Source organism: Homo sapiens, chromosome 13 (genome assembly GCF_000001405.40).
Source record: "Homo sapiens chromosome 13, GRCh38.p14 Primary Assembly".
Classification (NCBI taxonomy): domain Eukaryota; kingdom Metazoa; phylum Chordata; class Mammalia; order Primates; family Hominidae; genus Homo; species Homo sapiens.
The window spans coordinates 33,565,517-33,579,812 of record NC_000013.11 but is presented as its reverse complement, the minus strand read 5'-3'; the positions used below and the strand labels follow the sequence as shown (position 1 = coordinate 33,579,812).

The following is a 14,296-nucleotide window of genomic DNA, read 5'->3' as shown; positions in this document are numbered from 1 at the left end:
CATGTATTTATTGGCCATCTACATGTCTTCTTTAATGAGGTGTCTGTTCAGATTTTTCCCCATTTTAAATTGAGTTGTTTTCTTACTGTTCAGCTTTAAGAGTTTTTTTTGTATATTTTGTATACCAGCCCTTTATCAGATATGTTTATATATAATATATAAATTATATATATATATGATATTTCAATAGCTTTTTGAGTACAAGTGGTTTTTGGTTACATAGGCAAATTATACAATGGTGCAATCTGAGATTTTAGTGCACCTGTCACCCTAGCTGTGTACATTGTACTCAATATATAGTTTTTTATCCATCACCCTCCTTCTGAGTCTCCAATATCCATTATACCACCCTGCATGGTTTTGTGTACCTGTAGCTTAGCTCCCACCTATATGTGAGAACATACAGTATTTACTTTGCATTCCTGAGTCACTTCACTTAGAATAATGGCCTCCAGCTCCATCCGAGTTGCTACAAAAGACATTATTTTGTTATTTTGTGGCTGAGTAGTATTCCATGTGTATAGTAGCACATTTTCTTTATCCACTGATTGATGGGCACTTAGGTTGGTTTCACATCTTTGCAATTGTGAACTATACTGCGATAAACACACACATGCAGGTGTCTTTTTGACATAATTATTTATTTTCCTTTGAGTAGATACTCAGTAGTGGGATTTCTGGGTCAAATGGTAGAATTACTTTTAGTTGTTTGAGAAATCTCCATACTATTTTCCAGAGAGGTTGTACTCGTTTACATTCCCCCCAGCAGTTTATAAGCATTCCCTCTTCACCACATCCACACCAACATCCATTGTTTTTTTTGACTTGTTAACAATGACCATTCTGGCTGGAGTAAGGTGGTATCTCATTGTGGTTTTAGTTTGCATTTCCCTGATGATTAGTGACGCTGAGCATTTTTTCATATTTTTGTTGGCTATTTATATATCTTCTTTTGAGGATTGTCTATTCATGTCATTTACCCACTTTTTGATGAGACTATTTGTTTTTTCTTGCTGATTTGTTTGAGTTCCTTGTAGATTCTGGATATAAGTCCTTTGTCAGGTGCATAGTTTGCAAATATTTTCTCTCATTGTGGGTTGTCTGTTTACTCTGATGATTATTTCTTTTGCTGTGCAGAAGCTTTTTAGTTTAATTAGGTCCTATTTCCTTATTTTTGCTTTCATTGAATTTGATTTTGGGGTCTTAATCATAAATTCTTTGCCTAGGCCAGGGTCCAAAGGAGTTTTTTCTAGGTTTTCTTACAGAATTTTTTATGGTTTCACGTCTTAGATTTAAGTCTTTAATCCACCTTGAGTTGATTTTTGTAATATGGTGAGAGAGAGAGGGATCCAGTTTCATTCTTCTACATGTGGCTATCCAGTTTTCTCAGCACCATTTATTGAATAGGATGTCCTTTCCCTAATTTATTTGCTCTTATGCTTTGTCAAAGATCAGCTGGGTATATCTGACTTTATTTCTAGATTCTATATTCTACTCCATTGATCTGTTTATCTATATTTATACCAATACCATGCCGTTTTAGTTTCTGTAGCCTTGTAGTATAATTTGAAGTCTGGTGATGTGATGCCTCCAGATTTGTTCTTTTGCTTAGGATTGCTCTGGCTATTGAAGGTCTTTTTCTATTCCATATGAATTTTAGGATTATTTTCTAATTCTGTGAAAAATGATGTTGGTATTTTAATAGTAACAGTACTGAATCTGTAGATTGCTTTGGGAAGTATGGTCATTTTTTATGATATTGATTCTTCCAATCCATGAGCAAGGGATGTATTTCCATTTGTTTGTGTCATCTGTGATTTATTTCAGCAGTGTTTTGTAGTTCTCCTTGTAGAGACCTTTATATGCTTTTCAAAGATTTTTTTGTCTTGTCTTTTCATTATCTTAACAGCATCTTTCACAAAACAGAAGTTTTGAATTTTTAATGAAGTTCAACTACCAATTTTTCTTTCATGGATTTTGCTTTGGCTTTGTATCTAAAAAGTCATCATCAAACCCAAGGTTACCCAGGTTTTATCCTATGTTATTTTCTAGGAGTTTTATGGTTTTGCATTTTCCATTGAGGGCTATAATCCTTTTTAGATTAATTTTTGTGAAAGATGCAAGCTCCGTGTCTAGATTCATTATTTTGCATGCAGATGTCCAGCATCATTTGTTAAAAAGACTGTCCTTCCTCCATTGAATTGTCTTCACTCTTGTCAAAGATCAGTTGACTATATATGTGTGGGTCTATTTCTGGATTCTCTATTCCAGAGTTCATTTTGTTAGCAATAACTCCTATTACTGAGTAGCTTTTACCTCATAGCATTATTGGTTATTAATAATTCTGTTAATCTTTTCATTCAGATAAAATTTACATACAGGAAAAGGCAGATCCTTTCCCTTTTTAATACCAGATAAGACTTGATCTTTTAAGTGCAACAATGTGAAAGAATGGAATTTTATACTATGCTATTTATAGCTGAGGGAAAACCTGTTAAACAGTGAAAGCCTGTCTTAAAGTGAACTTATTTCTCTGTAGAGTAGAGGTGGTTGCCATCATGATTATCAGCAACACGATAAAACATGATGTAATTGGATGTGACTAAGTTTAGTTTGAATCCAAGGTCTGTGCTGCACAAATCTGTAGTACATTATGAAAATCACTCAATCAAGAATAAGTTTCTGCAGTAAAGACATGGACATAATTAGGCATACTAATTAGGATTGTGGTAATGATTAAATGATAAAAATGTTTTTAAAAGGGCTTTTGTGAAACGTGAAATCCTAAATAAATGCTAGGTCTTGTGTTTATTGAATCATAAAACTTTAAGGGAGTTTTTTAAAGATCAGTGCATTCGGCTGTCATTAGACAGCTGGTGGCTTTAAACCGGAAACTAAAGCATTAAGTTATTAAAATCACTAAGAATGCCTTTATAATGACTTCCAGGGAAGAGGATTTTACAAAATTTTATCAAACTGTATTAAGGTTTGTTACTATGAACATACCTTATTATATGGTTTTAAAATGTCTAATTAAATATTGTAATATGTCTAATTGAAATCCCTCACACTATATTATTTTTATCCCACCTATCTTTGGTGAAAAAACTAAGTTTCCTCTCAAATTTTGTAACTGAGAAGAATAATATTTGGGGAATAAATTACTGAGATGGGCATGTGGATGACTGATATGTGGTTTTTTGTTTTTCTTATTGAGAAAATTAGCCAATCAAAGGCAGATTAATTTATTAGTTCTCAGCCTTCAAGAGAGAAGCGTTAAGCTGGGCATGGTGGCTCATGCCTGTAATCCCAACACTTTGGGAGGCTGAGACAGGAAGATTGCTTGAGCCCAGAAGTTTGAGACCAGCCTGGGCAATGTAGCAAGACCTTGTCTCTATTAAAAAAAAAAAAGAAAAATTACAACTAGCTGGGCATGGTGGCACACTCCTGTAGTCCCAGCTACTTGGGAGTCTGAGGCAGAAGAACTGCTTGAGCCCAGGAGTTCAAGGCTGCAGTGAGTTATGATGGAGCGACTGCACTGCAGCCTGGGTGACAGAGCAAGACCTTGTTTCAAAAAAAAAGAGCAGAACCAACAGTAATTTTAAAAATATTTAAACCCAAAATAGCCAACTGGCGTAGAAACAGTGTGTTCCCTTAACTGGCCTAATTTTATTAATCCACTCACTAGTTCATTAATTCATTCAACAAAGAGTTAATGAGTAATATTGCTCCCTATAAAGCTCCCTCTGAGCTAGTTGTTGTAGTAAAATCAAAATACATTGAAAAAGATGTGTCATCTCAAGGTCTTTGCAGTTAAAGAGTCCCATATAGATTTTTTTTGTTTTTACTGCAGCTTGTATACATTACATATAATTCCTGAACATTATTAGGCAAGTGTCTGGCATAGAGGGAGAGGGGCTTTGCAAATTTCTTGTACATTAGTCTGTTTTGGGTTGCTATAGCAAAAATACCTCAGACTGGGTAATTTATAAATAAAAAGAGGCTTATTTAGCTCACAGTTCTGCAGGCTGAGTTCAATGGCATAGCCCTGGTTTATCTTGAGGGCTTTTGTGTGGTGCCACAGAGACCAAAGGGGAAGCACACAGGAGCAAAGAAGAGGAAACCTGAGTGGCGTCCTGGCTTTACAACAACTCACTCTCAAGGAAACTCATCTATTCCCCTAAGAACTAATCCAGTCTCACAAGAGTGAGAACTCATTCACTACTGCAATGACAGCAGCAAGCCATTCATGGGGGATCTGACCATACAACCTAAACACCTCCCATAGGCCCCACCTCCCAACATCACCACAGCAGAAATCAAGTTTCAACATGAGTTTTGGTGAAAACAACCATATCCAAACCATAGCACTTGGCCATCTCTATGTCTATTTCTTCTTTTCCCTTTCCCCACAAAATGTAGAATTTGGCCAATGTGGGCAGGATATCTGAAAATTGATGAAGTCATTTATATGGTAAAATAATTTGTCCAAATTATATTTTAGACAATTATATTTTAGATAAATTATATCAGGATCTTTGGGGTTCATTTTTACATATTAGAGGCATATACGAATATATTTAAAATACGTAGGTATGGCCGGGCGCAGTGGTTCAAGCCTGTAATCCCAGCATTTTGGGAGGCTGAGGCAGGCAGGTTACGAGGTCAGGAGTTGGAGACCAGTCTGACCAAAATGGTGAAACCCCCATCTCTACTAAAAATACAAAAATTAGCCAGGTATGGTGACATGTGCCTGTAATCCCAGCTCCTCAGGAGGCTGGGGCAGGAGAATCACTTGAACCTGAGAGGCAGAGGTTGCAGTGAGCTAAGATTGCACCTCTGCACTCCAGCTGGGCAAAAGAGTGAGACTCTGTCTCAAAAAAAAAAAAAAAAAAAAAAGTAGATGCATATAACATCACTGTGAAACTGATTTTAGGTTGAGAGTATAACAACAAATTATGCTATTTAAGTCTGCATCCCTAGTAAGTAAACAATTCAAGCAAGTTGGGGAACACATTTCAACTATATTTTGTCTCTTTTTCATTTATTTTCCCATATTTCTTTTTTTTCCAAGATAGGATCTTGCTCTGTTACCCAGACTAGAGTGTAGTGGCATGATCATGGCTCACTGCAGCCTCGACATCCCAGACTGTAGTGATTCTCCCTCCTCAGGCTCCCAAGTAGCTGGGACTACAGGAGCCTGTCACCACACCTGGCTAATTTTATTTATTTATGTTTTTGTAAAGACAGGGTCCCAGTATGTACCGCAGGCTGGTCTCGAACTCCTGGGCTCAAGTAATCCTCCCACCTGGGCCTCCCAAAGTGTTAGGATTACAGGCATGAGCCTGACCTATTTTCTGATATCTCTAAATACAGTGTGGAAAACTTTTTTTAGTCAATCTAATTTGAAAGTATCTATAATCTGATAAATACTAGAAATGGTCTAACTGATGTCTAAATCTCCAAAATCCTCCCAGTGAGATGATCCATACTTTCACTTACTGTGTTCTCTCATGTGTTAAAAAGTTTGTCGATTTTTATATTCCACATCAATATAACAAACTTGATGGCAGTTTAGGAAGAATAACATTTACTACTGAAGATGTACTCTGACAGTGCTTCACACTAATTATAGATTTCTGCAGCATACACTGAAGCAAGACACATCCGCAGCTCCTCACACTCAGCGCCCCTGTATGCCTCTCTTCCATTGCTTTCCAAACTCCTGTCATGTTTTTAGGCAAGGATCATGATTTTTGTCACACTCCTGTATCATCTATACTATTGTTCATTTTTTTAAGGACAAGCTTCAAGCTTTCTTTTTAATTTTATCTTTAGCTAGTAACTCTGAAATCACAGTTTTATGTGTTATTTTTGAATATATTATAAAAATACCTGTAAAACTTTTGTTCATGTTCACCAGTGTACACAATTTGTTCTGGGAATTAAATGCCTGAAGACAGGGTCACAGGATACTGGTGGTAAGATAAAGGTAACACCCAGCGAGACGGTCCTATGAATCTAGATACTTCTTGAATCCAGTTTCCCCAATTGAACAAGGGAAGAAATAATTGATTTCTTTATAAAATTTAACATTATTATGAGATGATTTATAGATTTTCTGCTTATACTCCCTGGAACATTCTCTGCCTGAATACCTATTTACTTTAAAACATGTACCAACAGAACCTTAATATCTGTCACCATAATATAGTCTGATTGTTTCAGAAATGTGCAGTGGATTTTCAGGAAAACTAGGTGTTTTTGTACACCCAAGTGTAAGCTTTTGAGCCATGTAATTTGTGTTATCTGTCTAGTCCACCAGGATCCCTAGCCTTATGGAGACTTTAATAATATTGTTACATAGTTTATAATGGAATAAATACTTTCATATTTTGCATATATACAGCATCAATACAATGGTGCATGGGCCTCATACTTTTAAGATCTTTAAATAGATAGGTTGGTATGTACGATATCAGATACTTAACTAGAGCACATGTTTTCCATGGACTTCTAATTTTTATGTGAATCCAAACAGTAACACTTTTTTCTATATAGATATCAATTATAATTTATAATTTTAATGTTTATAGTGTATGAGCTGAGATGTTTTCTTAGGTAAATGCATTATCTAGACATCTCCGTAGTTGTCTGGGGCTACCGTAGTCTAGACTGTTCCTGTAATTAGGGAAGGAACCCACATCACCATCACCTTTCATGTAGAGCCCTGAAGGATCACATTTTAACTTGTGAAAGAGATCAGAGGCCACCAAGCCATGATTTCTTAATTGTTATAATAAAGTAGAAATAAGACATATATCCTGGGTCATCTTGTGCATTAAAGTTGTCCCTTGATATCTGAGGGGAACTGGTTTCAGGATCCCCTACAGATACAAAATACTCAAGTCCCTTATATTAATTGGCCTAGTATTTTCATTCAACCTATGTGCATCCTTCCATATACTTTAAAACATCTCCAGGTTATTTATGATACCTAATATAATGCCTATACATCACTTAATTCTTGTGGATTAAACATAATACTTGATGTGTATCCAGTTCCGTTTTTGCTTTTTGTAACTTTGTGGAATGATTTCTCTGAACATTTTTATGGTTGGTTGAATCCATGGAGGTGGAACCCCTTGGATACAGAGGGCTGGCTGCATTTAGAACATAGTATAAAAGATATTTGAAAAAATAGTTTGTATTCCAATGCCATTTGAAAATGTAAGTTGCATTTGATATAAGAAACACTTCAAACAAATTAAAAGAGTTTGAGTAATGAACAAGTCATGGATTGGGCAGCCTTCAAGCCAGAGTAGGCTCAGAGACTCCAGCACAGCCACGTGGTGGAAGAAGATTTATGGACAGAAAAAGGAAAGTGACATACAGAAAATGAAAGTGAGGTACAGAAACAGCTGGATTGGTTACATCTTGGTGTTTGCCTTATTTGAACATGGTTCGAACAGTTGGCTACATTTGATTGGCCAAAACTCAGTGACTGGCACAAGTGTAGGCTACAGTCTGTTTACACCTCCACTTGTTATAATTCACAATGTACAGAGAAAAGTTTAGGTTGAACTCAAAAATATGTAAGGAGGCAACTTTAGGCTAAACTTGATTTAACGCATTATAAGTAAGAAATTCTGGTACCTGGAAAGGGAGACTAGGGACAGTTGATGGTTGACGATTAGGATGCTACTATGCAGGCAGAAAACAAGAAATCTTGCAGGTGCTTGCTTATTGAAGCAAATATATAGTTCTTTATCTCTGTTTCTGGTGTGCAATTTAATTAATATTTACCAGGCTTTGTTGTTTCCCACACACTGCTAACTTAAGGTCCTGAGGACATTGGCCTAGCAAATTCCCTGGTTATTTTCTTTCACAGCTATCCTTGCAGTGGGGTTTTCTTGGTACCTCCTCTGCTCTCAGAAGCCCACACACTCTTAAGTCCCAGAAGAGACATGGTTTCAGGTCCTCTTAAATATTCTCCACTTCATAGCATCCAGTTATACATATAGTCAAACAGCAAGCAGTTATTTCTGTGACTGACAGGCATCTGGTACAAAGCAGGCTACATCTCATCCCTGGACCCTGCATAGCACACTCACCTCTTAGAAAGCGGGACAGGATATTGAGCCTGCTCTCCTTCATTAGAAACTGTTCAAGTTTCTTTATCTGATGAACTTGAATATAGGATATAGAATAACTGCTGGCAAGGCAATGATGGGGAAAGAGTGTGGCCTTGCTGGCTCAGAAGACTCAGAAGTACAGACCAAGTCCCTTCCAACACTCTGACTCTTAGACTTGAGTATTTGAGTTATGTAACTAATATATAGCATAAGGTATGCAGAAAAATGCAGGCATTATAAATAGCTACTGCATTTAATTTTTAACTATCTACACACTAGACATTTTGTTCTCAAAAGCAAAATAAATAAACTCAAAATAAGTTGAATTGAGATACTAATTTTATGGATTGAAAGACCTTTGTTTACTTTGTGAGGAGTTCCTCACTTTGATAATTGTGATAGGGCACAACATGAATTATAATTGCCAAGCCAACTTAAAATAAAGGTAATTCTACTTGTTATTCTCGAACAATTGAAATCCGTTGTGATGGAATCTCAGTTCTTTGGAGAGCAGGAGATGTCTTCCCCTCAGGAGTCTGACACATGCCCAGTAAATTCAAAACGTGCACAGGAGGAGCTGTCAGACACCAGACTGGGAATTTCTGCCAATCCATAGGACTAGAGTCTTTACCAAAGGATTTCTCCTCAAGGATACCCAAGGTGCAGCATGATGCCTCCAACTCTCAGGATGGTATGAACATGGGAGTAGTTGAGGATAATATTCATATTTCCTCCCTCAAGCCATATCTTTCTGTATATCTTTCAAATCAGAGCTTCAAAGAAAAATCCAAAACATATCATAAGCAAAAATCCAACACAATATTTGTTTCTAACCTTGACTAAATAGCCTTTGCTGTTGGTAGAGAACTCCATATGTGTGACATGACAGACGCTTCATTTGATCAGTCTGGAAAAGAGTGAGACAGTGATGCTTCTGCACAGCTGTCCCTCCGTTAAACGCATCTAAAGAACCTCAGTCAGGAGCTTTCTTCCGAAATGAGCAAACTGTCTGTGGACTAACAAAGAAGAAAGATTTGCATTACCAAGACAGTCTCAGTAAACAGGTTGGAAGTAAACCAGAAAAGAGCAAAACTGAACAAAAAGCAATCCACCTAGTAGTGAGTTGTTAGCGAATTACAGTAGGAATGATCCTTATAAATGTTCCAATGATGATTTCTATGCATTTCCAGTTTAAATATAATGCTCTTGCCAAGAAAAGTTAAGGGTTAAAAGTTCATTAGTGAGTCTTTGAATGGGGGTCAAATGGGTAACATAAATTACAAAGTTTAAATCATCTATGAGTGTCCTGGTATGTCCAAAGTTTTGCTTATTAATATCTAAAACATAAATGGTATGACTACACAATGGATAGAAAAATCAAATCCCCAAATAATCTAACTTGTACATGAGAATGAGTAGCTAGTTTTTAGAGATTCTGACTTCCTCCCCCGTGCTCTTTCATAGATGCCTTTATTGATACACAGTGGCACATGGAAGCCCAGCTTTAAATGGGTCAGATGAGAAACGATATTCATTACTTTAAACTGGATGTACTTAGAATATAGCCACACACTGATATTTCCCTTTGGCTCATAAATTTTTTTTGTATTTCATTAGTTTTTGTGGTACAGATGGTCTTTGGTTACGTGGATAATAAGTTCTTTAGTGGTGATTTCTGAGATTTTAGTGCACCTGTCACCCAAGCAGTGTACACTGTACCCAATATGTGGTCTTTTATCCCTCATCCCGCTCCCACCCTTCTCCCCAAGTCCCCAAAGTCCATTATATCATTCTCATGCCTTTGCTGGTTAGTAAATTTTTAACACGAACAAGCATAATTCTCCTTATTCATTTTATTTTATCTCTATCTTAAGCTATTGATCAAAGGGAAAATTAATATTTCTGTCTGAAAGTTAATAATCTACTCTGTTGCCATTTCATCACAACAGTAAGTCAAAAAAGTCAATCAATTACGATTGAAGTTAATAATGAAATATTAGTGTAATTACCACTTCCTAACTGATGCGGGTCTTTTTTTAACCTTCTTTCTTCTGATTGAGATGTTACCTCTATATGCAGAAGATTTCTTTCTGCTCACTTTCACCTCATTTAACATCTTTTCCCTTTAACTTCAAGCTCTAATTATATAAGACTATTAAATCCTTAAAATTTCTTAAAGATTGATCTCACAATTGAACATAAAAACCCTCCTCTAATTACAAACTATTTATTTATTTATTTGGAATAGAGCATTTAGCCCAGGCAAGGGGTTCGATAAGGCTTACTGCAGATGAGTTTTTCTTGTTAATTTACATAAGGTCTTCATGTTACAATGGTTATGTATTTTTACAGCTCATATTCAATATTGCCAAACTGCTCTTCGAAGTATTCAACCAATCTACATTTTTATCAACAAGGTATGAGTAGGAAGTAGCCCTGAAATTTACACTGTCCTTATTACCTTTTCACAAAGAATAACATAGTATAACATCATATACAAGATTATTTGATAGCTCTAAACTAGCCATTTAACAGGCCATGCATATAAATTAATATCTTCCCACTTCAACACTTAAATTTTATAGACATAAGCTTAAGTAAACTCTGCCTTGGTGTTATTTGCACTCAGATCAGAATGGCCAGTCTACCCACTGAGAAGTTCTCCTATGAGTCTTCTCCTGTACTGTCATATTTGTGAAGCCATTTTTAATAGGGTAATGGTTATTGGTAGTTTAAAAAAGTATAAGTTTTCTATAGGAGAACTCAATTGTCTAGCTTACTATGTCATTAGAATAATTCTGTCCAATATAAAGCTCAAATGTATAAGCCTACTTTGAATTTGATGTACACATATAGTTAGTAAATCTTTCTGAAATGTAGCTTAACAAATCTCTCTTGGATAAATACATAGCTAAATGTAAATTCTATAAATTATGTTGAGGCCTTATAAATATACTGAATAAATAACTTTATACCTTTAGTGTGTTCACTGTTTAATCCCGTTTATAACCTGGGACTTTCTGATATAATCAACAACCCAAGAAACTAATTCTTAATTATTTAGTGTCCAATGGCAGGCAGAAGCCCTACGTAGTCAGGGAACATCATGGTAACACAACTAGATTAGATGTCAAGTGAAATTAAATTGATAGCTTACCTCTGTTACTACACTATTTCTCCTAAACATTTGATATCCCTGGGACAGATATATTTAAGAAAATCTTTAGAGCTCTTCCTTCCAGCATTTTGTTAACAAATAATTGCCACAGGAGAATGCTAAGTATCTTATAGAATTTTGCAAAAGTCATTTGACCCAAGTAGGCTAGGTAGTACCACATCAGGGTACCCAAGCATCGTGAGCATTTCTGAAGTCGATTCCAGGTCTTCCATACCTGTTTGCTACCTCTCCACAAGTCCAAGCAGACTGGTGTCTTTATCTTGATTTACTGTAACTACCAAAGCAAGATAGCAGTAGCCCCTGTAGAAATATACATGGTGATAAAAGGATTTATAGTGCAGAATAAGAAGGAACTACTTCTCAGGGATAATGCCTGTTTGGCAGAGTAAACTTAATTTTCCTGTTATTTCCTCCCCAACACCTAATCCTTTAAAATATATTGACTATTAATTTAAACAATAGAAAAAAAAATCCCTAAATACCATTATCCATAAAAACAATCTCTTCATTTTCTAAAGAAGAAAAGCAAACCCACAAACACTTTCTGTTATTAATGGTGACATATGGCCCAGTGAAGTCCCAAATCATTTACATACAGACTTCTAAGGGAAGCATCAGTGGTTATAATGGAGGAACTTCTGGCATGAAATGGGCAAACAGCATTTTGATCCAGCTATTTTGACATGGAGATGTTTTGACCCCATGCTTAAAATTACAAGTGTTTCAATAAGTATACTGACATAGATGAATTTTTGTGGAAAAGGTATATTCCAGAGTGAATTTCATTAAATGAATTTAACTACTAGATGAATTGTCTATTCAATGCACTTGAACCATTTTCACTTTTTGTTCACCTTCATTTTTATCTTTCTAAAATGCTCCAATGCTATCATTTTTCTGTAAATTAAATAGGGGTTTGATTCATGGAAAACTTTTTGCCCATATCAAGTTTTATCAATTATAGACAAGAATTATCAACTACAATTCTACCATTATAAATGTGTACGTTTGGCCATTAATTATATGAAATTTCACTGTACATGATCTAAATAGTACCAAGCTTTGATTCTTCTGTCAATTTGTGTTCCACAACAAATGACACCTTGTTACTGTTTTAGTTGGTGTAAGTTCTATTTTGTGTTCATTACTTTTACTAAGATCTGATTTTCCCTGGGCCACTGTTGTTTTCACAAAGACGTCATGATTCTTTACTGTCCTCTCCAGGTAAAATTCAGCCATTGTAAGTTTTATTTTCTTGTTTGTTATTTCTATCAGAATATTTGTTATGAATTTGAGACAAAAAAGTTGGGCCTATTTATTTATTGGAGCAAAGGGTATTTGAGTGAGTGTGAGTACCTAGTAGGGTCAAAGCATTCTGCTTCAGCAATACATATTTAAACCAGGACCAAGTGAAGCTTCAACAAAGCTTTGGAGAAAGGCTGATGAGTTGGGTAAAGCATAGGAATTGCACTATGGGAATATTAGAAGGGCATGCTGTGACTTGTTTAAGGTGTAGAGGAGTAAGAAATTACTGAACCATCAAATTAGACAACTGGAAAGAAGTGAAAACTGAAGCCAAAATACAAGTATTTGGTATGCATGCTAGAACCTATGTAATATAGTAAGTGATGGTAGGCCTGCTGTAAGCTAGATGAAATAGGAAACTGACTATGGAAGGATGGAATTTAGACACAGCAAGGATCACATAGTAATAGCCTGCACCTGAGAGCAGTGATCCCCATACTGCCTAATTCTATAAAAGACTTGCGACTGGGAATCTAGGTTTCTCTGACTTACCAAATTTCTCACTTCTCTCTAAAAGATTTCAAGAGGCATGGGAAGCTGGCTGTCTATTCACTGTGTCCTTGATCATGTGATCTTTTACACTTCTTTGCAGGTTTCACAGAAATGAAAATTAGAAAAACTTTAAAAGATGAGAGAATATGTGTACCATAAGATGAAGTACTATGATTATAATGAAAGGGAAAAGTCACAAGTGCCAAAAACTATGCTAGAAGGTAGACTTGTACAGAAAACTAGACTTTGTCTCTGAGTCTCAGGCAGTTAGAGATCATGCAGAGATATAAATAAAGCAGTTCCTTCTTATCAATGGGGCATACATTCCAAGACCCCCAGTGGATGCCTGAAACCGCAGATAGTACCAACCCCTAAATATACTATGTTTTCTTCCTATATGTACATACCTATGATAAAGTTTAATTTACAAATTAGGCAGAGTAAGAGATAACCAACAGTAACTAATAATAAAACAGAATAATTATAACAATCCTGCATACTATGTGAATGTGGCCTCTCTCCAAATATTTTATTGTACTGTACTCACCCTTTTCCTTGTGATGATTGGAGAAGATAAAATGCTGATGTAATGAGATGAAGTGAGGTGAATGTCACAGGCATCATAAGATAGCACTTAACACTTATGAATTGTTTATTTCTGGAATTCCTCATTTAATATTTTTGAACAATGACTGACCACAGGTAACTGAAACTGTGGAAAGTGAAACTACAGATAAGGGGAAAGCTACTGGATTAAGTTATTTTACAGATATAGGTAGAAGTGCTTTAAAAGCATAAAGGAGAAAGTAATTAATTAGGCTTGGGAAAGCTTTCCAAAGAAGGTGACATTGATTTCAACCTTGAAGGATGAATAAGTAGGAAGGTGTTCATTAGAGTAGGAAGAGAATAGCCAGGATATGTTGGATCAAGTTCCTGGCCATTGGCTGATGTTAATGCCAGTAATCATGCCCTTCTGTGATATATGTTTCTTACCTGTTTGGAGGCAGCGTCCTGGGCAAGGTGAGTGATCTGTATGAGCCTACAGGTAATTGATGTTCTTCTCTCAACTTATGGATTAGAAGGCCCAAATTATCCATCAAAATGGTATGGAAAGGTCACAAAATCCATGGTAAATTTGCTTTCCTTCAGGTTTACCAGTGTAGCCCTCTATTTAAAGTTGCCAAAT

At 35.9% G+C, this 14,296-nt stretch overlaps 1 protein-coding gene and 1 long non-coding RNA gene across 4 annotated transcripts in view; one reads left to right on the top strand and one right to left on the bottom strand.

Moving 5' to 3' along the window:
• STARD13 (StAR related lipid transfer domain containing 13) overlaps nt 1–14,296 on the top strand; it is a 573,658-nt gene that overhangs the window by 96,982 nt on the left and 462,380 nt on the right. The gene's annotated exons all lie outside the window — the stretch shown is intronic.
• Nucleotides 1–14,296, bottom strand: part of LOC102723406 (uncharacterized) — a 57,046-nt gene that overhangs the window by 31,966 nt on the left and 10,784 nt on the right. The window contains exons 2-3 of one of the 2 annotated variants that reach the window (XR_007063750.1): nt 11,528–11,613; nt 8,970–9,151 (exon numbers count right to left, since the gene is read on the bottom strand). This is a non-coding gene — a long non-coding RNA (uncharacterized LOC102723406). The remainder of the gene's footprint in view (nt 1–8,969; nt 9,152–11,527; nt 11,614–14,296) is intronic. The other variant, XR_001749811.2, reaches the window with a different exon arrangement.